Source organism: Homo sapiens, chromosome 15 (assembly GCF_000001405.40).
Source record: "Homo sapiens chromosome 15, GRCh38.p14 Primary Assembly".
Taxonomy (NCBI): Eukaryota; Metazoa; Chordata; class Mammalia; order Primates; family Hominidae; genus Homo; species Homo sapiens.
The window spans coordinates 31,776,649-31,804,276 of record NC_000015.10 but is presented as its reverse complement, the minus strand read 5'-3'; the positions used below and the strand labels follow the sequence as shown (position 1 = coordinate 31,804,276).

General features: G+C 45.9%; 1 protein-coding gene across 3 annotated transcripts in view, besides 1 other annotated feature; it reads left to right on the top strand.

Moving 5' to 3' along the window:
• The window catches only part of OTUD7A (OTU deubiquitinase 7A), a 395,276-nt gene that overhangs the window by 66,397 nt on the left and 301,251 nt on the right, over positions 1-27,628 (top strand). The window lies entirely within an intron of this gene.
• Positions 4,974-5,473: an enhancer, noted in NCBI's record as "H3K4me1 hESC enhancer chr15:32091007-32091506 (GRCh37/hg19 assembly coordinates)". NCBI's record gives its function as "activates a minimal SCP1, AML or CMV promoter by ChIP-STARR-seq in naive H9 embryonic stem cells {active_cell/tissue: H9 hESC(naive)}" and the evidence as "EXISTENCE:reporter gene assay evidence [ECO:0000049][PMID:30033119]".

Genomic DNA, 27,628 nt, shown 5'->3' with positions numbered 1-27,628 from the left:
GTTGGTAGCAATGCCAGGGGGAGCTGCCTCTTCCTATTGTCCCACACATTTTCTCTTCAAGGTATTTTATATCTTGAAATTATGTTTGTGCAATTTCAGTTGAAGAAAGGGTCTGTTCCTTGAAGGTTTGGAAGCCATCCTGAAGAGTTAGGGGTGAATAGTAGGTAAAGGCTGAGGACTGTGTAATGATTAAATTGATTAACTTCAAGCAAGACCAAATATGTTTTGTTTCATCCCCCCTGTCATCCTCTGCTCCCCTGGAGTTAGGGAGGCATCTGATGTACCCACCAATAAGGGGATTAAGCTTGTCATCTGGTATCATCACCTTGATCTGAAACCATGGGGAAGGAAGCTTTGGGCTTTTTAGCAGATGTGCTCAGCTGGGATGAGAACTTATTGTGAATTCCATCTTGCATCCTGAAAGATGCACTTGTGGGTGGGGCCTCCACTGGCTTTTCACCTTGTCCCCTACCCCACCAGGGCTGTTTGTTTGCTCTGGAGGTCACTGCATTAAAGCGTTGCTCTCAGATGGTCACAGTGGAAGGCACTTATGTGACTCACTGCAGCGATGGAAACTTTCTGAGAACAGGGTGACACACCTCAGCCAGCCAGTCTTCCGAGTCATAATGAAAAGACTGTGACTTTAGCTGTGGGACTCAGCAGCACTTATGGAAAAGAAGTGGAGTCTCTGCTCCCTGTGGAGCTCCTGCTAGCTGAGGCCTTGAAAAGGGTGCTTCCCCCAGTGTTCTCAGCAAGACAAGGGCAGAGGCACCCCTGAGCCTTCCTGGACAGCTTGGTCACTGTGCACAGAGTGGTGTGTTGGTGGTGTATATGCTGGAGAATCAGAGCCATCAGTGTCTTGGGGACAATAAGAAGCAAGCTTAAAATATACAATCTTTAAGGAATGTTTTGTGAATAGGTAAGAAATGAAGGGAAAGATGATATTTTAGCAAATAACTTTTTTTTAAGGTTGTTGAAGTGATATAGATTGATACGGCAAGATGTTTTTATTCTAGTGCCCTGGGCAGCAGGCAATGTGTCCTGGAAATGTGAAAATGCTGTTCCTAGTCTGGAGTTTGCTGCTGAATGACCTGGTGACCTGGGCCACTCTGAGCTTCTGTCCCCTTCTCTGGGGCATGATTATTGGTTATGTGGATTTAGTGGTTTTCAACTGTGTTATTTTCATTTGTCTGGGAATGCTCTGCTCAAGTGAAGTCTTACCCACAAAAGTCGACAGACAGACCTGCCCCTTGATCCTTCTCTCCCTCAGCCAAAAGGTCACTTAGAGGCGCCTAGAGGCCTGGGAGAACCTCCTGACTGGGTGAATTCAGAGATTCCTCTCCTTCCACGTCACTGTGGAGCCTGACAAACCTCAGCAGTGTTTGCACCAACACTCAATTGGGGTTCAATTCAGGCCTGAAGAATTTGACCTGAAGTAGTCCTTGTAGTATTTTTATATCAAAGAGATGGTAATTGCCTTTCAAAGACTGAGTAAAAAAAGGAAGTGACTATGACTTTATTTAATTATTTTCTATAAAATAAGCCGGTCTATTAAAAAAGATGTGAGATGTTAAATGTACCTCAAAGCGTTCTTAATCCCACATCTCAAATGTGCTATTGCAGCACTGAATTTTAATAACATCAAATTGACTCCATAAGTAGTTACTTATAATCTGGATATCAGCATATAATGAAGTGTAATGTGAGAGTGAATATTATTATACTTTATGTGGTGGTTAATACTGAGTGTCAACTTGATTGGATTGAAGGATGCAAAGTGTTGATCGTTGGTGTGTCTGTGAGGGTGTTGCCAAAGGAGATTAACATTTGAGTCAGTGGGCTGGGAAAGGCAGACCTACCCTTAATCTGGGTGGGCACAATCTAATCAGCTGCCAGTGTGGCTAGAATATAAGCAGGCAGAAAAACGTGAAAAGGAGAGACTGGCCTAGCCTCCCAGCCTACATCTTTCTCCCATGCTGGATGCTTCCTGCCCTCGACCACTGGACTCCCAAGTTCTTCAGTTTTGGGACTCAGAATGGCTCTCCTTGCCCCACAGCCTGCAGACGGCCTATTGTGGGACCTTGTGATCATGTGAGCTAATATTTAATAAACTCCCCTTTACATATATATATATACACACACACACACACACACACACACACACACACACACATATATACACACACATATATATTCCATTAGTTCTGTCCCTTTAGAGAACCCTAACTAATACACCTTATTTTTTTGTGATTTCATGTAAAACCCATAACAAAATGGGAGGTAACTGCACTCCTGGTACATGGAGCTTGCAGGATACTAAAGTAGTGTCACTTGAGTGTAATGTGTAGATGCGTACACCATGTGTGTCAATTATGCTGTGTGAATGATGGTTCTTTGGATCAGTCTATATAAAAATATATAAATAAAAAACATAATTTTACATTTATTTATCATGACAGTATTTTAATTTTATTTATTTATGTAAAAAATCAGTCACATATCATAGGTTTAGGATTTAAAGCCATCCTGATTTCTCTTGGCTGTTAGTGGTGGATTGAAAATAATTTAATAGTAAACCTCATATTTCTTGCATACACACATACACACAGCACAATGTAGAAATGTAGCAGAAATAAGCTACTTTAGCACCCACAAAGTAGATGATGTTTCTTTTCATTTTTGTTTTGTTAATCGATACTTTAAAATGTTATTATTGCACCAAAAATGCAATTTTATGCATTTTGAGAAAATGCCTCTGTATCTGAGGTGATGTGCCCGCTGCTGGCCTAGATAGTGGCAGCTCAGAACCAGCCCAGAGTTTGCCCAGAGCCTCTGCAAACCAGAGCCTCTGCAAACCAGAAGGGCTGGGTTCTGGCAAATTGTTTTCTGAGGCAGTCAGAGCCCTGGCCACCTGCCATCAGGCTGGGAGAGTTGAGTTAGTGCAGTTCCTGGTGTTCCGCTAGACCCCAGGCCAGGCCATCTCCTGTGAGAGTAGTACACCTATCTCTGCCCTTGCACCTGGCCTCCCAGTTGCCTGGGGTTCGAGGCCGACTCAGCAATGCCCGCTGGCCCTGGCACACACCATCCTGCCTGTGTTGAGTGTGTTGAATGTGCTAGTGATTGTTCATTAGGAGGACTAGTTGCAGTGTGGAGTTTCTGGGAATATCTACTTTCCAGAATGATCTGTGGAAACCTGATTCTGCTTTTTTTTTTTTTTTTTTTTGAGGCTGCTGGATAATGCTCTACATTAAGCTGCGTGTGTATTTTCTGTAGGTTGTTGTTTCCTGCTTTGTTTGTTTGTTTCTGGCACAGCATGCAGAGACCCTGAGAGCATGCCTCTGAGACCCATGGAGGGATGCCCATGTGCACAGCAGGGGCTGCAGGAAATCCACAGCAAAGGGGGACCTGTTTGTAGACGCTGCCATGGCTGCTGTCAGCAAGAATCAGCAAAGCACACAGCCATCCACCTATGAGGGGTCTTAGAATAAATAAGAAAAAAACAAAAAAACGCTGGGGCTGCTTCTCCTCCACTGTGAACTAGGTGCAGTATCACCTTCCCTGCGTCTCCTTCTGCTCATTCTGGTGGTGAGAAGCTCTGTAACCCAGAGGGGCCTAAGAATGGGAGGCTGGATGAGACCCGGACCTGGCTCTGTGCAGCAGAGCATGGGAACTTGGGGCCTCCAGGAGTGACCAGGGGACACCCACCACAGTAACCAGCCACAGAGGCCATTGGGTAGGTTGGCTCTCCTGTCCCTCCTGGCTGCATCCTGATGGCCCCACAGCATCCTGGGGAGTCCCGACCTTCAGGAACACACAATGAGCTTGAAGCTCAGTGTCCTCGATTGGCTGCTGGCAGAGTGCATGGGGGTGGTGAGACCATGGGCCACCAGGACCCTGGGCATAGGTGCCTGGCCTCTCCTTGGCTGGACCAAGGTGCACATATCTGGCTGACCCTCAGGTACAAGAGTACAGGCCTCCCGGGCTTTTTGCCTGGGAGCAGAAACATGCTGCGCGTCTAGGTGAGGCCAGCCTGGGCTCATTTCCAGGCTCTAAAGCTCCTACTTGGTGAGCTGACGTTCATGGGAGGACTTCTGTGTTCATATTCCAGGGTGAGTTTTCAGTGCACACTGAGTACCTTGTGTTATTAATAATCATCTGGCCACAAATGGGATGTGTGCTCCTAATATCACTGCCAGATTTCTGCCTGAGTCACAACCTTATGCCAGCCTTCTCACTTTCTGCGGTTTCTGGTGTAATAAACAACCTTCTTGTTTTTGCGTCTGAAGTGTGGTTTCAGTGATTAGAGCATAATGTGTGGTTCCCCCCATTCACCTGAAGAAAAGTTTGGGTTGCATGTGAAGAGATCTTTAACTCAGTGGTGCTTCCCCCGTATCTTCAGCCTTCTGTCCCACCACAGCCTGTGAACCTTGACTGAAGGGAAGCCCCATGTCCTGGGTCAAGCAGCAGCCAGGCATTGAGAGCAACTAGGTGTGAGCCAGAAAGATCTGGATTCCAGCCTGTCTTAGTAAGCTCAGGCTGCCATAACAAAGTACTACAGAGTGAGTGGTATATGCAAGAGGCATTTATTTCTCACAGTCAGTTCTGGAAGCTGGGAAGTCCAAGGTCAAGGTGCTGGTAGATTCCATGTCTGATGAGGGCCCTCTTCTTGACCTGCAGGTGGATGCCTTCTCCCTGTGTCCTCACATGGCCTTTCTCCTAAGCATGCACGTGGAGAGAGAGGGGACAGAATCTCTTCTTATAAGAGCACTAATCCTATCATGGGGGCCCCACCCTCATGACCTCATCTAAACAATTATCTTCCAAAAGCCCCACCTCCACATGCAGGCACATTGGAGGTTATGTCTTCAACACAGGGATATGGGGTGGACAGAAACATTCAGCCCCCAACATAGCCCCAGATCCACCACTTAGGAACTGTGTAATGGAGAGACTTGCTTCCCTCTCTGAAAGTGTTTTCTCATCTGCAAACTGAGAATGAAACTGTGTTATTCTGGGGCTACCGTCTGGATTAAGGAGACGCAGCCATCTCCATGGCCTGCAGGCCCGCACAGCCCACTGTTCATGTCCAGGTGCCCTCCTCTCCCGTGTCTTTGCTGGATTCACCCCAGCCACTCCAGCCTTCTCTCTGTTCAAGGATCCACCCCAGACTCACTCCTGGCTTAGAACATGTACACTTGCTATTTGCTCTGCTCAGAAATCTCTGTCTCCAGATAATTGTGTGGCTGCCTCTTGGTTGTGGGGCCCTCTCCACCCTGGCCCCTCCTTGAAGGCCTGTGACCCCTCTTCCAGTAGGCTGTGTCTCAGAGTTCTTTTTGAAAGTGGTGATCTTGAGAGGTGAGATTGCAGCTCCCTGCAAAAAGAGGAGAGATCTGCTTTCTGCCCACTAGCAAAGCAATGGGTTCCCTAGGCACAGAGCTCCTCAGCCATGACAGGAGCCCCCCCCCAAGCTGAGCCTCCCCCTGGCTTCCTTCTGGCCTCTGGGGCCGTGGGGGCTGGGAACCAGAACAACGTAGCTGATGCCCTGCTGTTTGCTCTGTTATAAGGGTCAGCTGTCCTGCTGGGGTCCAGTGAGCCTCATTGTTTACTTTTGGCACTTAAGGTGTTGGAGCAAGTTGACTCCTGGTTATCCTCAGTGAGGTTTTGGTTCTTCCCTGGCAGGTTGGTGCAGCATGCAGGGGAAATTCACTGTCAGGCCCATGCACTCCACTTCCCTCCTTGATGCTGCCTGGTCATCTTCAGAATACTCGTCAGTGCCAGAGCTGCCTTGTTCATTTTATGTGCTTTTGCCTTTATGCCTCTGTCCATGAGCATGGGCATCTGCTCTGACTTGTCCATGGCCACACCTGGACACCTGGACAGCAAGCATGAGGGGGCATCGGGAGCACACCACAAACACTTGAGTGAAAGATTGAACTGTATGCAGGACAGCAGGCAGCTCACGGGCACAGCATTTATCTCAGTAACTTTGGCTTCAAATGGGGCCACCCTCTCTCAGAATTTTGGGGAAGATCACATTTGTTATGGACTAAATTGGGACCCCCACCCCCCCACAAAATGCCTGTGTTGATGTCCTAACGTTACCCAATACCTTAGCATGTGACTTTATTTGGAGATATGGTCTTTAAAGAGGTAATCATGTTTAAATGAGGCCCTGTGGGTGAGCTCTAATCCTATATGACTGATGTCTTTATAAGAAGATATCAGTCACTGGGGATGTCCACACACAGAGCAATGCCCATGTGAAGACGCAGTGAAAAGGCGGGTGTCTCCCAACCAAGAAGAGAGGCCTCAGGAGAAATCAACCCTGCTGACACCCTGATCTTAAACTTCACACCTGCAGAACGGTGCAAAGTGAATGCCTGCTGTTTAAGCCCAGCTGTTTTTGGGCATTTTTTGTGGCAGCACTGGGACACTAATACAACGTTCCATAACTGATGTGCTGTGATACTTCCTCCCAGCACCGGAGAAGCAGCACACACAGGGACCACTCGTTGGGGCAGTGGCAATAGGAACACGTCTTTGCTTTTTGGAAGGGCACTTAAAATTCTGTAAGCATGCGTCCAGGCTTAGGATAGAGTTTGGGAGTGAAGGCGGGCGACTCCCTTTGGAGTACAAAGCATGCGATTTGCAGGTGTCACCTGAGGAATGGGGGCTGTTCCTTCAGGCAGCCTGCATGGTGGGGCCTGGGCCCTCAGTGAAGAAGGACAGGGCAAGGCCCTGGCCTCCTGGAGCTTGTCCTCTGGGGGAAAAGACAGGCTACAGGGAGAGGGTGCTGAGAGCAAAGCCAGAAACAGAGCAGCTGTGCTTAGACTCGGTATTAATGGAATAGGTACTCGTCGTTGAGAGGTGACCGCCAGTCTACATTCCCTTCACTGCCAATAAAAATTTGCTGCTTTATGGAACCTAAAGAAGGAAGGTCCCTATGAGTAGAGGGGTTTGTGTTCTGTTTTGTGACCAAGATACATAAAAAAAGATCACTCAGCCATCCTAAGCGAGAAAACACCTCCACCCGCCCAGCTTTTTGGGGAGGGTTGGCAGTTTAGAATCACGTCTCAGAGGCAGCGCGGGCTCCCATGCTCCTGAGTTCAAGGGGCATGACACCAGCGAGGTGCCATCATCCACTAGGGCAGCTCTGAATGAGGAGCTCCTGGAACATCTTAACTGATTTATTTTGCTTCCCCCCGCACCCCCATGCTTGTGCAAGTGCAAGAGTAATGTTTGAGGCCAGGTGCCGTGGCTCACGCCTGTAATCCCAGCACTTTGGGAGGCCAAGGCGGGTGAATCACCTGGGGTCAGGAGTTCGAAACCAGCCTGGCCAACATGGTGAAACCATGTCTCTACTAAAATATAAAAATCAGCCGGGTATGGTGGTGCATGCCTGTAATCCCAGCTACTCAGGAGGCTGAGGCAGGAAAATCACTTAAAACTGGGAGGCAGAGGTTGCAGTGAGCTGAGATTGCACCACTGTACTCCAGACTGGGCAACAGAGCAAGACTCTGTCTCAAAGAAAAGAGGAATGTTTGAAAGCTCTGTCTAAATATAAGTATGAAATAAAAACTGGAAGCAATAGAAGAGCATTGGGTCACCATTGACTTGGTGGCTACTTTTTTCCTTATGCTCTTTTACATTAATTGTGTAACAATCACGGTGATTAAATTTTGTTTCAATCTGGCTAGACCGTAATATCCAGAAATGTGGTCAAATACATCTGAATGTTGCTGTGAAGGTAATTTTTAGATGAGATTAATATTTGAATCAGAAGACTGAATAAAACTGATTGCCCTTCTTAATGTGGGTGAGCCTCATGCAATTATTTGAATGCCCAATGAAAAAAGACTGAGCTTCCCCAAAGAAGAAGGAAATCAGTCTTCAGACAGCCTTCAGACTCCAGCTGCAGTATCATTTCTTCCCTGGGGTTCCAACCTGCCCATCTGCCCTGCAGATTTTGGATGTGCTAATCCCCGCAATCATGTGAGCCAATTCCTTAAATCTCTCTAGAAAGATAGAAGACAGATAGATGATAGATAGATAGATAGATAGATAGATAGATAGATAGATAGATAGATAATGCATAGATACATACATAGATACACACACACACACACACACACACGCACCCCTTACTGGTTCTGCTTCTCTGGAGAACCCCTAATGTTACAGAGACTCAAGTTCACTGCATATGGTGGTGATCCCTGCTGTGACTCTCTGCTTCTAGTGCATCTCTCCAAGCCTTAACTGAGCCTTCTATGAAACGAGGATGATGCAGGGTCCGCATGAACATTTCAGGAGATGAAGCAGTTAGAGTGTTTACCTAGGGGCCAGGCTCAGAGAAGCTTGAACACCATGCTTCCGGTAGGGCATGTGGTGTGTGTGACTACATTCCTGTGCTGTCTTTCTTTGCCCTACAGGGATACATATGGGCCTGTTCCTCACTTTACAAAGAGGAAACTGAGGCCCACAAAGGCCCAAGCATGCTTCCAGTCACCCAGCTGTGGAGTGGCAGCCTGCCTGTCTCAGGTGCTGTGCTCCTAGCACCAGTGTTCTTTAAAGAGAGAGCAAAATTTGCATTTCAGGAACGTGCAGGCCGGGGAGAGTGGCTGGGTGTGTAACTGTACTGTGCCTCATATTCCCATGCCCCACTCTCCATGGGGAGGTGTGCTTACTCCATGGCATCTGCCCTGGCACTCCAACCCACTGTTCTCACCTCCCAGAAAGATAGAAGAGATCAGCCAATCATACTGCTAGCTACACCTCTCCGATTTTCTCATCCCCCAACTCCAATTCTCTCTCAACTCAGACCTCTTTGGAGTTTCAGAAACCCACTCCTCCAGGTCAGCACTCCAATATTCACAATGGCTGAGACCCATGAAGAGGTCTGAACCAGGTTTTTAGGGGCTGCAGAATGAAAGTGCAGCCACTGATGGTGCTAGCGACTCTGTTCAACCTTCCCGAAGACAAGGGCCTAGTAGATGAAAGCCTCAATCATACCGTGATTCCCACTGACTGGGAGAGAGGCCAGCTGCAGAGAAATTTCCTGCATAAAAGTCTGTGCATTTCACCTGTGGGCCCCAAAGGAACTGAGTCTGTAACCCAGTAACCTTTTATCCTAGGATTCGAATGAGCAGGCAGATCTGAATTGTCTGGATTTCTTTAAGGCCCAAGTTACTTTCTTCAAAGGATAGTCTCATTTGTAATATTAAAAGCATAATGAGAATAACTAGATTTTATTATTTAAAAGATTTATAGCCGCAGTAATCTTATTTTCATTTTTATAGATCTCTATTCAAAATCAGACCAATGACTAAACTCTGGACAACAAAGGAAATGACCTGTTATTTTACTTAAGCTAAATACATTGACTTTTATTTTAAAATTAAATCTTGAGTAAATTAATTCATATATCTGGGTTGATTGTAAACCCCAGGAGAAACAATAACTGTATTTATTTGCAACTTAAGATTGGCTCTCTTCTTATGAATTGCTCACTGGAGGAGCCCAGGTGGGCCCAGTAGGGAAGGAGCATCCCCCAGACGGTGGGCTGGGGGGCGAGGTGGATGAAGCGATTCTCTGATTTCTGTCACTCAAATGTAAGTCCCATAAAGTTAGGATTTTTTTTTTTTTTTTCACTATTCTATTCCCGGCCTTTAGAACAAGGCCAGCCAGCACTTGTAGGTGCTTCATTAATATTAGTTGAATGAATGAATCAATTAGACATTTACTAATTTGTGGCTTTCTCCCACCCTCCCTCCCCCATATTATACCTTTGATGCTTGGTACTTAACAAAAATAGGAAGTGACAAATTTATATTTGAATATTTGAATGTATCATTGAGATTGTCACATTGCTTTCTGCTTCATGTGATAGGAACATTAAATAATCTCTTTTGAGAAATAACCATCAATGTAAAGAGGAAAACTTTGACAGATATTAAGGCATACTGCATACTGCAAATCTATAGTGATTGAAAATGGTGGTCCTGATGTAAATACAGACAAATGGGCCAATAGCACAGAATAGGGAGCTTAGAGACAGATATTTGTGTGACTGAGGTTTAATACATGTTAAGGTAGAACCACATATCCACAGGGTAAGCTTCTATTAGGGAAAATTTTCCATATAGAGAAAAATGAACCTAGAGCCATACCAAACACTACATGAAGGTTAAAAATAGAGGTTTAAATGTGAAAGATAAAACTATAATGTTAATCAAAGAAGGCTTAGATGTAGAAGGGTTTTTAAAATTAAACTTCAAAGCACAAATTATAAGGCAAAAATAATTAATTTGATCACATCAAAATTAAGAATTTCTGATCAACATAGGCTTCCTTGGTAGCATCAATAGACAGATGACAGCTTGGGAGACCATCTCTGGAATACCAAGGCATGATGTACAAGGAACTCTTCAAATCAACAGCAACCAAGAAGAGCCTACATGGAAAAATGGCCAAAGTGTATAATCAGGCATTTTACAGAACAGGAAAGCCACAGGGCTAAAAAGCAAAAGAAACATGCTCCAAGTCATTTTTAATCAGAGAAGTGTGCAATGGAAGGCAATCAAATGGTCTTTTATGAATGACAGTACGATGGGACATCTCCTTCCATTAAGCCTTCCACTGGTGGCTCTAGCTGCAAACCCAGGAGGACTTAAGAAAATGGCACCTTCGTACCCCTTCCAGTATTGTAATTTAAGGATGACGGAGAATGAGAAGGAAACATGTATTTTTGGTTTGTAGGAGGAGACATACAAAATAAGTAGAAGGAATGCCTTCTAAGAAGAAGATAACAATGGACCATAGAGGAGGGATGGGGGACTCAGTGAGGAGAGAGGACACAGGGAGACCAGGTTGGGGCAGGAAGTGCACCTCTGGCCCAGTGGGAAGCCATGGAGGCTGCAGGAAAAAGCCTTGTGTGATGCTCTTGGACACAGTGTGGGGTTCTCCTTCACCTGGGGTCAGATAACCCAGGAGGGCATCAGTTACTACCAGGCCAGAATCAGCCCAGAGGGTAGGAACTGAAGAGGCCAGAGACTCCTGATGCTGATGCAGGCAGGGGCAGGAAGAGCAAGTTCTGCCGCATTATCAGAAAGGACATTCCTGCTGCTTCCGGGGAAGGTGCATGGGGGGTTGGGAAGCTGGAGGCAGAAGCACAGCCGCACAGTCTCCTGAGTGCTGTGTGTGCAGTGGTGTCATGGGTCGAATCAGTTTGGGGCTCATTTCCTGTGCCCACACGCCATCTGTCAATTGGTGTGTGGTGTGAGGCACGTGGTGTCTCCCGTGGCCGGCGGTGAGGAGGATGAGCATCTGCATGGCAGTGTGGCAGGACTGCTTAGAATCCCCAGGCATGCCAGGCAGGGGGGCAGCCTGCCACTAGTCTGTATCCCTCCCACCCTGGGGTCTGCACAGAAGAGCTCCCTGAGGACAGCCCCTCAACCCAGCCCTTGTGTCCCACTGGGGCCAGTCACTGTTCCCTGAGGCATAGAGGTGAACACACAATGGAGGACTGTGCTCAGAAGCCAGTGGGGGATGGCAGAACACACATACACATAAAGAAGAATTTTATCTGGTGGTGGTCACTATTGTGCAGAGAATGAAACAGTCTGCTGTGAGAGAGAGAGACTGAGGACTGCCTCAGACTGAGGAGTCAGCAAGGGTCCCAGAGGAGAAGAAAGTCAAGGTGCAACCTGAATAAAGGTGGGGGCCAGACAGAGGGAATACAGGACAAAAGAAGCTCCAGCTTAGGACTGAGTGTGTCTCAGTGCAGGATGAACAAGCTGGCCCAAGTCAGGGAATATGGGGAGAGGGGAGGGCAAGGGATGCTATGGAGAGGGCGGCAGGACTGGAGCAGGTGGAGGTCCTGTGAGCCTGGCCATGGAGTATGGGTTTTGGCCCAAATGTGATGGGAAGTCATTGGGAGGTTTTAAACTGGAGGTGATGGCATCCGGTTTCTGTGTTAAAAAATGACCCTTCCTGCTGTGTGGAGAATCGAATGTAGTCAGGGGTGTCAGTCAGGAGACACATTCAGGCAGCCAGACAAGAGGTTTTATGAAGTAAATAAAGTGGCAGAGAGATGACAAGAGGTGGAGGGATTTGAGATGTGTTCTGGATCTGCCTGCTGATTGCACATAGTTGCTGAGGAGCGGACGAGAAATGCGGAGGGCTTTGATTTTTGGCTTAAGAAACTTGGTGGGTGCTGAGAAGAAGGAAGTGGGAGAGGGAGTGGTGGTAGGAAGTCAAGAGTCCTGGTTGGGCAGTACTTGGTTTGCAGTGAGTAGGCATGTGAAGTGGGGAGCTCGGTTAGGACTGAGTATCTTCTCTACATCATCCAGGTGCTATTTAGAGCCTTCATGGGAGTGCATTTGGGGAGGGCATAAATGGAGATGAGATGCAATCCAGGCTGAGCCCTGCATTCCATGACATTTGTCAACAGGGTCTGAGGAGCAGCCAGTGATGAAGGAGGAGGACCAGGAGAGGGTGGGGTGTCAAGACAGCCAAAGGAAGGCCATGTTTCAGAAGGAGGGAGGGGGCCAGCTGGATGGAATTCTCTTGAAGGCTAATTAATATAAAATACACTTCATGAATGATCCTAGAAACCCACATCAGCACAAAGGCCAGCCAGCACAAAGCTGAATAGAAAGCCTCTTAGATGCTGGGGTTGGTCCGGGACGTGTTGTACCTTACTCATCCATCATGTGTCTGTGTCGCATGCGTCCCTTTAGTTGAGCTTTCCCTATTCTACAACTAGAAGCAGAGATGTGGGCATTTCATTGACCCTCCTACTCAAAAGAGGGACACAGCAAGAGAACCAAAATAGAAGGTGGGATGATGGAATACAAAATTTGAAGAATCCCAGAGGAGTCATCAACCCACTTCTTATATTTAACAAAAAAATTTCCTAGGAACCAAGCAACTCCCTTAAGATGACTATTAGTAGGGCTGGGCGCGTTAGCTTATGCCTGTAATCCCAGCACTTTGGGAGGCTGAGGCGGGCAGATCATGAGGTCAAGAGATCAAGACCATCCTGGCCAACATGGTGAAACCCCGTCTCTACTAAAAATACAAAAATTAGCTGGGAATGGTGGCATGTACCTGTAGTCCCAGCTACTCGGGAGGCTGAGGCAGGAGAATCGCTTGAACCCAGGATGCGGAGGTTGCAGTGAGCCGAGATCGAGCCACTGCACTCCAGCCTGGCGACAGAACAAGACTCCGTCTCAAAAGAACAAAACAAAACAAACAAAAAAAGATGACCATTAGTTGTAGGTCAGGACTAAAACTCAAGACTTGCACCTCCCAGTCCACTATTTCTACCATGAATACTGTGGAAAAATGTCACTTCCATAGGTGTCTCCATTGTCAAGTTCTCATCCTAACCTGAAAAGGGGACCTCAGCCTGTGACTCTGTCTCTCAGGCAGTTCCATAAAGGGGGCAGCCTCTCCTGCATGCTCTGGGGCCCATCATGAGGCAGCATCTATAGCTCCCAGGGCTGTCATTCATGGATTGAGGGCCAGAGGCCCCAGAGGAGGTCTTCAGGGCACAAGAGATGGCTGCATTTTCTGAGTTGTTTCCATGATATTGGCTGGTGGGAGGCAGCTCATTAATGGGTGCAGAACCAGGTCACAGGCCAGGTTCACACCCAGAAATTCCACCCCAGGTTGGACTTGTGCCCTGCCCACACACTGCAGTCTTCAGGGAGCTGTTTTGTTTTCTCTGTTAAGGGCATCTATTTAATCTCTTTCTCTTTTTATCCTTCCTTCCTCTTCTTTTTTATTTATCCTGTCTCTTGATAAAGCAATTCTAGTTTTTGAATCAAAACACCTGGGTTCCAGACATGGCCTCTCCTTTTAGGGCCTCACTGTTCTCATAACATGAAGGTTTTTAGCTACATCAGGGCAGACGTTCTCAAAGTGTGGCCCCTAGGCCTGCAGCATCAGCATCAGCTGAGAACTTGTTAGAAGTGCATGTTGTTGGCTCTTGGGGCCTCCCCAGCCCCACTGAATCAGAGTCTCTGGGGGTGGCCCTGCCGCCTAGTTTTTACAGGCCCTGCAGGGATCCTGACGCCATGTAGGAGCCATGATGTCAGAGGGCTCTGGTTGCTGTTGTTCCTGACACATCTAGGAAGTGTGATGTACTCCCGTCAATGTGACTTTATAGGGCGGTGGTGGCTCCACATGGTAGAATCTGGAGATGGACTTGGCCTTGTGGAGTTTAAATTGTATCCTCTTCCCTCTCCCAGTTGTTGAGGATCCTGAGGCTTGCTAGGCATTAGTCAGCCAGTCTCCCCGCTCTGGCACCCTGTACCTCTAACTGCATAACAGTGGCAGTGATGGGCAGGTAGGGCCAGGCTGGTGGGTTAAAATGCAGCATTGGCTACTTTTGTATTTTTAGTAGAGATAGGGTTTCTCCATGTTGGTCAGGCTGGTCTTGAACTCCCAACCTCAGCAGGAGAATCGCTTGAACCTGGGAGGTGGAGGTTGCAGTGAGCAGAGATCGCGACATTGCACTCTAGCCTGGACGAGAGTGAAACTCGGTCTCAAAAAAAAAAAAAAAAAAAGGGCAGCATTGGATTTCCACAGTTCTACCTCTGCCCCTCCCAGTAACTGCAATTTTTCTTGCAGAGACAGATATGTTTCTATTGAATGTGCCACCCTGCTGAGATCAGAATTAAGCCATGAGTGAAGATGCCCAGACTGTATGAGTGGCACGATGTTGAGCCTCAACAGCACTGAACTGGACAGGAAGCATTTCAATTTTGGGAAACATAATTGTGGAGGAGTGAAATGTGTTGCCCTTTTCATGTCAGAACATTCATATGAAAATCATCTGGCTTCAATTTTTATTTCTAAAATTAACCTTTAGTATTAGAAACATTTACAGTGTTAAAATTTGGGGGATTACTTTCAGACATCTTGGATTACTTTCAGATGATTGCATTTCTTGGGGAACACCACAGTGGGAGAGGAACCAGAAATATTCCCATCTGATTGAACAGAGGCTGGATGTGACAGGCCCAGCAGTTTCTCCTGGTTTCTACCCTGCATGAGGAAGGTGTGGGCTTGGAGGAGATGCTCAGTCAGTGTTGCTTAGAGTGGCTGCTAGAAGACATTCTGTGTCTATTACATAGCACTTACAATGGTATATCTCCCCTCAGAGTATTAAAAAAATGAAATTTATTTCCAACTTCTTCAAGACTTTAGTGATGCCAGAGATCTAACTGGGTGTAAGATTATGGTAATGGCTGTAGGACAACAATCCAGAGAGACTGAAGATAGAATGGAATCTAGGGTTTGGGTCCTGGCATTTAGGAATCCTATGGCCTTGGAAAAGTCACTGCACCTCCTTGAGCCTCAGCCTGTTCATATGCAAAATGAACATTAAAAATAAAGCCTTACCATGAAGGATGGAGCAGTTAAGATTATATGAGTAAGCTCTTTCTAAACTACAAAGAGCTCTGAAGTATCTACTGTATGCTGTGGATAGCTTTGGGGTACCTTTCTCAATGTCTCTGTTCTAAGGGTACCTTTTCTCTCCTCCATTCACATTGCTGCAATGTTTATAAAAAGGGGCCTGGCCCTTCCACCTCCTGCAGCTGCCACCCAGTGATGGGTACCCTACCCACTCTGGGGCCAACACAATCCCCACCTGCAACTATGGATGATTGGCCAAGATGGGCTACTTGACGGTTAGGGCATTCTTTCATGGGAATGTGAAAATAGCTTCTCAGAAGAGTCCTGTATCCTTGAGTAGGTTAACCTGTATCATCGAAACTAGGTTGTTCTCTTTGCCCATCAATAGCCATTTTGGAGTGAAAACAAGAAAAGAGATGAGAAGGAGGAAAGGACCATCCATCTGAAGACATGGCAAACATGGCCATGGTTCCCGCCCAGTCATGAAGCCCAGATCTATTCTGATCCTTGGAGTGTCTGGCCTTCCCTTGTTTGCTTATGCTAACTTGTGGGTTCCTGTGGTTTGTAGCCCAAAGAGTCCTTTGGCATGATGACACCATATCAGGCACATTAGTGCAAAGTCTTACGCATATTTCTTAGTGTCTACAAGGCTGATTTAAGGCATTCATAAACAGAAGGGAAAAAAGATGTAAATATTGGAAAGACAAAAACAAAACTTATTCCTAGAATCAATATAATTTACCTAGAAATGCAAGAGAACCCATCTGTTAATCCAGTTACTCAAAAATTAATTATTGAGTGCCATGTGGGGTCTGGCACTGTGGAATGACTTAGAATTATGAGAGTGTACAGTAAAGTGGCCAACTACAAGATAATTGTATAGCAGTAAGCTTTCCATGTTAAATAAAGCATGTTACAAATTCTTTGATGTTAAACAAAGCTTGGACCATTACTGGAGGATTTCCTATGTTAGATATATTCCTAGGGTCTTATGCCAGTGTGAGCTCCCTCCCTGATTTCTCTAAAAGACTGAACTGTTGCCTAAAGAACTTCCTGTGTTCTATTCATTGAAAGGAGTTTGCACTGCTATGAATTCTATGATACATATGATATTGCCTGCCATTTCCAATGCCTCCTGTATTGTTTTTATTCAAAGGGTTTCTCACCATTATGAATTCTATCATGTACTTTGAGGCTTAAGTCAAAAGAACTTTCCACACTTATCACATTCAAAGTCTTTCTCAGTAGCCTAAGTACTTTGATGTTGAGAAAGTTGTTGATGTGCACTGAAGGCCTTCCCACACTAGTCATGTTCATAGGGTACCTCTCCACTATGAACTCTCTGATGTATTTTAAGGCTGCCACCTAGGCTTAGCATTCCTTGAGGTCACTGAATTTCCCTCCATCTTTAACTCTTTGATGGAGAGTAGGAGATGTATATTTTTATAAGTGAACATTTTTCGTAGCTGATTAGCTCCTATCTTGGTTCCAAATTTGGAAAATTTATAATTCGTATTAGAAAACCAAATGCTTTCTTGCTGTTTCATTTAAGAATTAAATTCCAAGGTAACCAATTAGCCCTACTTGGTGAGGCAACCAATAACTGTACAGTCTTCATGCTTCTTATAACCATCAAGTGCCCTTTTCCTTGCTCCAATAAGGCCATCACATCTGGTTCAGAAAAACAGTGTCTAGCATTGAGATCAAATTGCCAGTTCTCCATCATCACATCCTGGTACAACATTTCTGGAGCAGGTTCAAACAGCCTCGTCTGTGGCCACATCTCTGGCCATGTATGCCATGTTGTTTGATGAGAAAAAGCTGACTAGTCCCCTTTCAGTGTCTCCACTAAGAAAGCCCAAAACATACCTAGAGCTAAACATTGACTTTTATATGTAAAGCAACATTTTCCCCTCCTCCTTAGGGTCTTTGTTTTGTAGAACGACAGGCCTCACACACATTTCATAATGAGATGGAATGAAGGGGGGCGGTTACAGTCTGTCTGTGATATCACTGCGGGGTCCTGGGTCAGAACTCTGGGATGCTTCGACTCTGAGCCACATAGCTGCCTTCTCAGAGCTCCTGAGGGGGAGACCTGCTTACACCTCCCTTTCCCAGATCAAGGCAACTATACCTGCTTGCTGGAAGCCTCCATTCTAGGACTCACTACCTGGCTTCCTTCTTAGGGACACCTCTCTGCAGGCATCTCACGTAACAATGAAGTGAAAGGGTGGAGGGGCAGCAGGGCATGAGGGCCACAGAACCCAGTGACACATCCCACAGCACCACACGCCCACAAAGCCACACACCCCTCACCTGTCACCAAGCCTCACCCACAGCTTCCACATCCACACCCTGTCCAGGCACACACCCTGTCTCACACACAGACGTGCCACACACACAAAAGGAGGTTCCAGTAATGAGACACTCTGTCCACATTCCTGGCCTCTTTGCCTTAAGTGCATAGGCAAATTTGGCAATAAGACTTGTCGGAGGATAGAGAATTTGTTCTACTGGATAATAACATTTATTATAAATAATAATAGTAGCTAATATTTAGTGCTTATCATATGCCCAGCTGTATTAGTTTGTTTTCTGTTGCCTAGGATACATGAAAGTAGGTAGTTTATAAAGAAAGGAATTTATTTTTTACAGTTATGGAGGCTGAGAAGTCCAAGGTTGAAGAGCTGCATCTGGTGAGGCCCTTCTTGCTGGTGGGGACTCTGCAGAGTCCCCAGGTGGCGCACGGCATCATATGGCGAGAGGGCTGAGCGTGCTGGCTCAGGTCTCTCTTCCTCTTCTTATAAAGCTATGATTTCCCCTCCCATGATAACCCATTAATCCATGAATGGATTTGAATGGATTAATCCATTCCTGAGGGCTCTGCCTCTTAAAGACCCCACTTTTTAATACTGCCACATTGAGAATTAGGTTTCAACATGAGTTTTGGAGAGGACATTCAAACCATAGCACCATACCTGCTTTGTGTGTTTACATGTACTATTTAATTCTCTGGCCAAGGAAGGTGCTGCTCTCCTCACTTTGTGGATGAGGAAACTGAGGCAAAGTATGTTTATCTCACTTGTCCAAAGCCACACAGCTAATCTATGGCTTAAATAGGGCAGGCTCTCACTGCTTTGCAAACAGACCCAAGTCACATGCCTGCTGCACTGGTTGGGGTACAGCAGGAATGTTACAGTCTGGAGTGGTTGCTTGGGGGCCAGAGTCAGAATCATGGAAGGCATCAAGTTTTGGGGGGCACTGCCATCTTCACCAGTAGCTTCCAAGTTGGTCAGGATAATAGGTGTTGCCCTTGTACTACAGTAATGAGAGAAGGTTGTGGAAGGTGTGGGGAGCTCCAGAGGCCAGGTCTGGAAATGGGACACACCTTTTTGCTGTTCCTCTTTCATTTAAAAAAGAAAGAAAAGCTAGTATAATCTTGGAGTGAGAGAAGCAGTTTCTAAACAGAAAAATATGAGACATGTTTCAAATAAAAATATCTACAGATTAGAATTTATTTTTAAAAATTCAAATGTACCGAAAGCTTACCCAAAATTCTGAAAGGACCAGCTGAGAAAATGTATCAATGCATACTTACAGGGTTTACATGCGTCAGTGTGTAGTTACAGGGTTTAGATGCATGAAAGTGTACTTGCATGGTCTGGTTCCATCAAAGTGTACTTGCATGGTCTAGATCCATCAAAGTGTACTTGCAGGATTTAGATCCATCAAAGTGTACTTAGGGTTTAGATGCATCAGTGTGTACTTGCAGGGTCTAGATGCATCAGTATGTACTTGCAGGATTTACATGCATCAGTGCCATACTTGCAGGGTATAGATCATGTGTTCGTGTTATCTGTATGCCCGCGTTTAAGAGATAAGCACAGGTGGGCAGTGCCGCTCCCTTCTGAACTGACCCTACTTTAACTCCAGCCTCCCCATTCTGCCTCCACACCTTCCCCTACTCTTTCTCAATAAAACACTCAGGAGAATCATCTACCTTCACTGTGCCATTCCTCACCTTCTATTCATTCTTTTTGAAAAAGTAATAAATTTTAATTGTGAAACATTTCAAGCACTCAGACAATACAAAGCCCGCTGCTTTTGGAATGCCCTCCTTCTCTTTGGGTTTAACTTCCTTCTTCCTGAAGCAAATGCTTTAGGATGCTGGTTCTCAAAATTTTTGATGTCAGGTTCCCTTACATTCTTAAAAATTATCGTGGTGCCTAAAGAGCTTTTCTTTGTGGGGTATGTCTGTTAATATTTACTGCATGGGAAATTAATACTGAGAATTTATAAAATACCTATCAATTTTAAAATTACAATTATAAACCTGTTACATGTAAACATAGATAAGCTTTTATGAAAAATTTTTCAAAAACAAAAAATATCACGAAAAGGATGGCATTGTTTTATGTTTTAGTAAATTTCGACTGGCTTAATAGAAGACAGCTGGATTTTCATATCTGCTCCACAATCCATGTATTGGGGTGTGTTGTTTTAGTTGTAGTGTGAGAAGCAAGTCTAACCTCATACTGCTATGTAGTTGGAAAGGGGAGGAGTATTTCAGTTGACTTTTCAGGTAATTGTGGATATCTTTGACACTACATCTGAATTCAACAACAAGTAGTTTCTTAAAATTAGTTGCCACATGGAATCTGAAGCCACATTGGTAAACTTTTCATACTCCATTATATTACAGTTCTTTGCCCTGTCTTGCACTTATCTACATATGATCTGTAACATGATACACTGATCGCTTGGAAAATAGTGGTCCATTGAGTTAGGTGGCTCTTCTAAGCATTGTCACATTTCATTACACACTCTCAGAAAATCACATTCATTAATATCACCACTAGTCTCATCAGAAAAGTCTCTGAGTATTGGGAGCAGTCAGATTCACAGTAGTAGATACAAGAAGTTTCATGGGGAAGCTCAGATTTTATCATCGATAATAAAATACTATTGGGATTCTCTTTAAAGTGACAGGCTCACTACATTCATTTTCAAGAGGATGCTTGCCAGACACCAGTGTCTGAAAAATGATCGTTTTCAGTTATTCTTTCAAACCCTGCAAGTATGCTTTGATGAATAGAAGGTGAGGAAAATGATGTTCCATGGAAATACAGCTAGTTCAGGGTGCAACTCAGGCAGTCATACAGGTGCTCTGCCTCAGGACCTCCATCGCTCTTTGGCATACAGCAGAGATACTTAGAATATCAGGAACACTTACACACAAGGGTTGCTAGTTAATACAATTAATACTTTTCACTGCTTCATCAAAGATATTCTTAAACTGTTTTCGGTTTCTGTTTGGGTTTTGTTCTTTGGCTTTTGTAAGTTTGAGTGTTTGATGGTGAAGAATATGAAGACTACTGGCACAGTGGTTGCTATTGCCTTAATTTGTGCGGCTTCTTCCATTGCTTCGATACCATGAATGTCAACACAGCGAAAAGCAAATCTCTCCTTAGAATGATCATTGAATGATCATGAAAATAGTCTTGACCTTTTGGAACCTCTGCTTTGGGATTCCTGCATGACATTAAAAGGTAAGCCCCTAGACGGGGGAGAGATTGTCCCCTCCACACTCCTTCAGCAGCAAGTATTGGTGTTAAGCTCTGATTTTCCATTTCTTCTGGTTTCTAACAGCTGAGAAATTCTTTCCTTTGTTGCCAGTCTTCTTTAAGCATTCTTTTCCCTTGATCTCCAGAATGCCACTGCTTTTTGGTTTCTTCCCGGCTCAGTGGCTGTTCCCTTCCCTTCTCCTTGCTGGTTTATGGTATTTCCTTTTCTATCTGACCTTTAAATGCAGGACTTCACAAAGGCCCAGCCCTGAGTTGTGTTCTTTTAACTCAGCTCTTGTTGGGTGGTCTCAAGTTCCACGGCTTTAAATACCAGTTTTGTGCAGGTTCCCCAAGCTACACCTCCAGCTCAGAACTTTCTGCTGAACTCCAGTTCAGTTTACTAGTTGCCCAGTTGATGTCTCCATGGTTTCCACAGGGACCTCTGATCCTGCTGTCAGCCAAGCTCTTGCTCCAGGCCTCCTCTTTTTAGAAGTGGCATCTTTAATACTGAGATAATCAGAAAATTTGAAGTCATGTTTGACACCTTACTCTCTCTCTGTACCCCCAAGCCAATCAGTCATGAAGTCACGAGAAGTTATTCACCAAATTACTTTCTTTCCATCATCATTACTGATCTGCTGCTTCCTCTCCTGGGTCCCAGCGCCTCTGGCCAGTACTGCTGCCGCCACCCTTCACCAGGCCTGCAGGGTCACCCACATCATCTCCCGTGCCCCTGGGTGTGGCTGTCCCTGCTCACTACCCCTCAGGGCCTCCCACTGTGGTTCCTGTGAATCCTAGCATCTGCCTGTGGCTACAGGCTCCTGCCTAGTTTGGCTTGTCCTTGGCTTTCTGACCTCAGTTTGTGTCTCAGATCCAAGCACACTGACCTTTGCCGTATTCAGGGAACATACCTAGTCTTTTGCCACCTCTGGGCTTTCCAGGACTGGTTATGCTCTTCTGTGATATTCCTTTGGGTCCAGTTTAGAGACCGGGATTTGCTCCTCCCAGCTGCTCCTGCACACCCTCTGTTGATGGCTGTCTCACATTACTCTTGGCACCTCCCTCAGTACCACAGGCCCTTTGCATTATCAGCTACCCTGCCAGGTTCCCCTGCAGTGTGAGCCCATGCCAGCAGTGCCTGCCTGTTCACAGCAGCATAGAGGGGTTGTGTCACTGTGCGTCACGTCTGAGGACACCCCTACAGAGCACCTACCAGTCTGTTAGAAAAACCCATTCCCTTACGTGACTGAAGTACTGGGATAAACAGTTCATAAAAGAAAAATAAAAGTGAGCAACAAGCTTTATAACTGTGTTCAATTCTCACTAGCAATTGATTTCAGGAAAACCACTTGGCAGTATCACCAAGATCCTGAAATCTAATACTCAGTCTCCCACGATTCCACGTTTAAGAATCTTTCTGATGGAAATGGCTGAAGATAGGATACAGATGTATATGTGAGGGTATTTATCTGATAGTAGATAAAGTCAGCCATTTTCATTGGAAGCAGTGAAAGTGTCCCTGAATAGGATGATGGTGAAATCAGTCAATGATGGGTGAGATTAGTGGCTTTGTGTGGCTCGAGCAGAGATGGCATCCCTGAGGCTGCAATCACTATGTCATGTCCAGCCATAGGGGGCACTGGATGCCAGGTGAACAGTCAGAAGAAGTGTGACTGACGGAATTTAAGGAGAGGTGCTATCTGAGCCTGGGGTGTGCATTACCTTTGAAGATGTATACATTGGTGCAGTCAGGTTTCAAAATATGTTTGCATGAATGAGATTGCAAAACTTAATGGTTAATACAACCTTGGATTCAGACAGGGTGCAGTGGGATGGCTCCTGTGTGGTCCATGATGTCTGGGACCCCAGCTGAGAAGCCTTGAAGACTGGGGCTGGGCTCATGCAGAGGCTTATTCTGGAGCTGGGTCTGGATGACTCAAAGATGGGGACTGCTAACTGGAGTGCTCACATGTGGCCTCTACACGTGGCTTGGCCTCCTCACAGCATGCTGACCTTGGGGTCATTCTTAAATGGAGCTTCAGGACTCCAAGTGTACATGTTCTAGTGAACGAGGCTGCATCACCCATCCTTAGCAGTCACACTGCATCCTGTCTGCTGTATTCTATTGATCCTAGCAGTCCTGAGCCCACTGAGAAGCAAGGGCATAGGTCACAGAACCCCTCCTCTCACTGGAAGGGCTGAAAAGGTCACATTGTGGAAGAGACACATTGCTGGGACCATCTTTAGAAAACACAGCTTGCCACAAGGGCCATTATTTAACTGACTAAACAAGAGGCCGATGTATAAACCCACTTTCTAAATTTGCCATACAAAATATAACTGCTCAGTACATCAAGAATATTTGTACCTACAGTCACTGTATTCCTTCCCCTGTGGAAAGTTGACAGAAGCTGTTGACTTTTTAGAACATGAACATGCAAGACATTGAATGGCAGTGGCTAGCGTCTCCAGCCATCAGATCCAATGACAGCCCTCTTTTCTATAGAGATGTACTTGGCAAGCAAAGTTGATGGAATACTCAGAGGCTCCCTTTGCCCTTTCTCCAATACAGAAGGCAATTTGAGAAGCTCTTTCTTGCTTCTTGATCTTATTAAAGAAGATCTCTTTCAATAACTCACTTTAGCTCATCTTTTCTCCCCATATGCTGTACTTCGGTGGTTTTCTGTGAGAAATCCCTCGTTAGTGTCTTTCCCAGGTGGTGGTGTCTTCAAGAACCACTGAGTGCTGGGGCTGCGGAGCCCACAGATCTGGAGTCAGGTAGCCACCTTCCCACAGCTCCCGCCGGCTCCTGCCAGCGCTTCTAAGTATTGAGTAGAGGGCCTGCCTACCTGCCAGGGAGGCTTGATTTAGGTTTTTTATACTTTTTTTATTTTAAATCAGAAATTTAATCTATAGTAAAGTTGATTTTCTCCTCTTAATTTCCAAAAGACAGCCATTTCTTAACTTTGTAGAAGAAGCCCCATTTTAAAAATGCATATATACATGTAAATAAAATACGAGCTAGTTTGAACGTTAAATGTTTATTGTGTGTGTTACTGGAAGTGAAGAAAACAGTGGGAAATCTCTTGATGTGAGTGAAATTGATGCATGGCTGCTTTATTTTTAAGTGATTCTGTAAACCAGAGGGGCAGATACTACAGAAAGAGTCATTTCCTGACAGCTGTCGCGGCTGGCCTGTCTGCTTCTGCCATCCTTGTTGGTTAATCACCCCAGGCACTCTCTTCTTGGTTTGAGGATGACATGCTCCCTCCTTGGAGGGAGCAGATCCCAGCACTTTGTCCTGGACTGGGTTGTGAAGGCTTCTGGGGTGCACTGAGAAGACTCCAAAAGCCCTTACCAGAAGCAGTCAGAGTGTGTGATTGCAAATCACAGGTTGAGGTCGGCAAGAACCTTGGAGAGAATGAGTTCCAAACCCCCATCTTACCGACAACAGATCCAGGAGGACCAAGGCCTTCCTTGGTGCATGGTACCCTCTGCACCCACCTCCTCCATTTCTCTCTCATCCACCCCTAGGGCTCCAAAGTGGCCCGGAAAGAAGACTCTGGTGTCCAGATCCTAACAGTGACAACCTAGGCCGATGTTCAGGAAGTTGCACTAGGAGCCAGAAGCTGTGTTGTACAAGGAAAACAGTACATTGAGATCCTTTCCCAGGCTCTGAGATCCAGACTTTTTTCAACACACAAAGGCCACGGAAAGGAGATTTCTTCTTCTACCTGCTTCTTTACCGTCAATTACCTTGTACACAGGAATGGTGCATTGTTTTTTATTGTAAAGCAAATGCTGTTTATATGAAATAATTTGCTCCATTACACCAAGATAGTTCTAATGTAACAGGTTGGCAGTGTGAGAAACAGAGGTGTCTCCTGTAGCCTCTAAAAATGTGGATAAAAAGCACATGTTGCCTGGATGCCTTCCAGTGAAAGTTTATATCAGTGAAGCGTACTTTTCAGATTGCATTAGTGCCAGCGTGACGATTCCTGAGGAGAGCTGTTTTTCAGAGTTCTGAGCCCAGTTTTTGTTTTGGGTGATAGTGCCATAAAGGAAATGGAACCCAGGGACTCCAGGAGGTGCCCTTGGCCTTTTGGTTAAATAGGGCACCTGGGTGAGGAATGGACAGTCTTAACTCTGGAGGGGAATTCTGGAAGAGTGTTACAGAGGGAAGACAATCTTCTAAAATGTGACCCAAGCTCTGCTGTGGAAATGGAGTATTTAGATATATTAAAAATTCCTAAAATAATGTTTCACATTCATCAAGTAGAATTTATTCATTCAAGATGTAGCTGTTTCCCCAAGCTTCCATTTCTGTTTAGTTTTTCTTCCACAGTGCTGAAATACTGCATTTTTACCCCAAGAATTCATGTCTGCATTGATCTGCATTCCACTAATCATGTTTAAATCATTAAACGGAATAGTGAAGACATTATACTTGATGATGGGGCTGGGAGCGGGGAAAGGAAGAGCAGAGAAATAAATGAATCCCCCACTCGGTGTGTGTGTGTGTATGTGCGTGTCTGTGTGTGTGTGTGTGAGAGAGAGAGACACACACATCTTGTTTACTTTTTCAACGAATTAATTTCACTTTTTCCTAATGTCCCTTGGCTAAGGAGAGGCTTTTCTGCCCAGGCAGGCACTCCACGAATCCACACACTCAAACACTCTGTAGCCTGCAGACCAGCACCTGCAGCATTGGAGTGGGCATCCTAAACACTAGGGCTGCCTCACGAGGGACAGAGCCCCACTCCGTGCCACTGTGTGCATTGTATGTAGTTCAGGGCATTGGTCAACTAGAGCATGTGCTATTTCGTTAGGTAAATGGAAATTTTTTTCCATCTCTCTTTCCTTTGGATATACAATTTGCAGTGAGTGAGTTTGCTATTCCTGGTCCTTCCCATCACTTTGAGGGATCCAGATGGAATCCCCCAGCTGCACCCCATGGTATATTTCTCCTCACCTGTTGTCTCTCTCCATGGTTTTACCTGTGAAGATTATTGCTACAAAGTGACCAGTCAGAGCCATCCCTGCTGACCCCCGGAATTCCTGCAGAACAGCCTTGTAGACAAGGTATGGGCTATTGAGTTCCTTGGGTATGGTACTTGTACCCCTCTCTCTATGCGTATTCTTGGGCTCTTGTCCTTAGAATTACTCTCTGCACATTCGGCCATTCCCATGGTGCTGATGACTGGGCAGATCAATCCCCCAGCCCAGGCCTCTTCTGGAGACTGATGATACCCCTAGATCCTGCTGTCCTACCCATGGCCGGCCACCAGAACCGTGTCTAAGAGCCGCTCCATTTCCTCCCATCAGCCCATCATTTCCACCTGTGTCACCCGCTGTGCTCATCCTCTCCCTCACTGCCCTCTGCCACTGCCTTGGGTGCTTGCAAATGCAGCCGCTTGTGTTCTTTGCTCTCAATTCTGCAGCTGCCCCCTTGCCAGGCTCTGCCTTCAGCCTCTTTGCACACAGCTTTCAGAGTTTGTGGGCTGCCCCCAGAACTCCCTCACTCAGCCCCCTTTAGGCAGAACCCACGCACCCACCTACTCCAGGGGCTGCCATGAGATCTCTTCCATGTGCATCCAACATGGAAGCCCCTGCCTGGCTGCCTGGGGGCCTGGGCTGAGGGTGGGGGATGGGGGGCCTGCAGTAGCACCCCAGCCTCTACACTGCACTCCACACACACTGCCTGCTCTGTGCTGGTGCCCGCAGCCCAGCTGCCTTCATAGGGTGAAGAAGGAGGACCCCTCCATTTTCTGTCCATCCTGAGTGCCAGCGCTGACCCAAGATCCTGGCAACCCCACAGTTCATCCAGGGTCCACATGAAGGTCCTAATGCCCACTGGGTAAGGATTGCATTTAATTATGGTTCAGCGTTGACCATTTGGATAACCTTGAACCAGGAAGTACAAGTCATTGGGGTACTATAGACTGAATATTTATGTCCCTCTCAACCTAACCCCCAAGGTGATGGGATTGGGAAGTGAGCCCTTAGGGAGGTGATAAGGTCATGTGGAATGAGATTAGCGCCCTTGTAAGAGAGGCCTGAGAGAGACCCCTTGCCAAAAGGCTGTCATGTGAGGATGCAGGGAGAAGTCACCGTGTATGAACCAGGAGCAGGGCCCTGTTCAGACTTACTCTGCCAGCACCTGATCTGGGACTCCCCAGCCTCCAGAACCATGAGAAATGAATGCCTGTTTATGAGCGACCCAGTTTATGGTATCACATTACAGCTGTCCAAATGCACTGAGCTAGGGGGCAGGTGGCCTTGTAACAAAATGCTCCATTTTTTTTTTTTAGAGTTAGATTACTTTTTAGCATTTTTTTATTATTATTATACTTTAAGTTTTAGGGTACAGGTGCACAATGTGCAGGTTAGTTACATATGTATACATGTGCCATGCTGGGGATTAATGTTAGGAACCTATTAGATAGCAAGCCTCCCTAGTATGCGTTTAAAGCCCAATTTCACTTACTAGCAAATGCCCACTTTCAGGGACAAACTAACATGAACAGTTCAGCTCACACCCCTGAGGAGTAAGGACCCCCGGTTCCTTCAGACCCTGGCAGTCACAGTACACTGCAAAGCTGTTGACACACAGGCATGCATTGTTTTCCTCAGTATTCCTA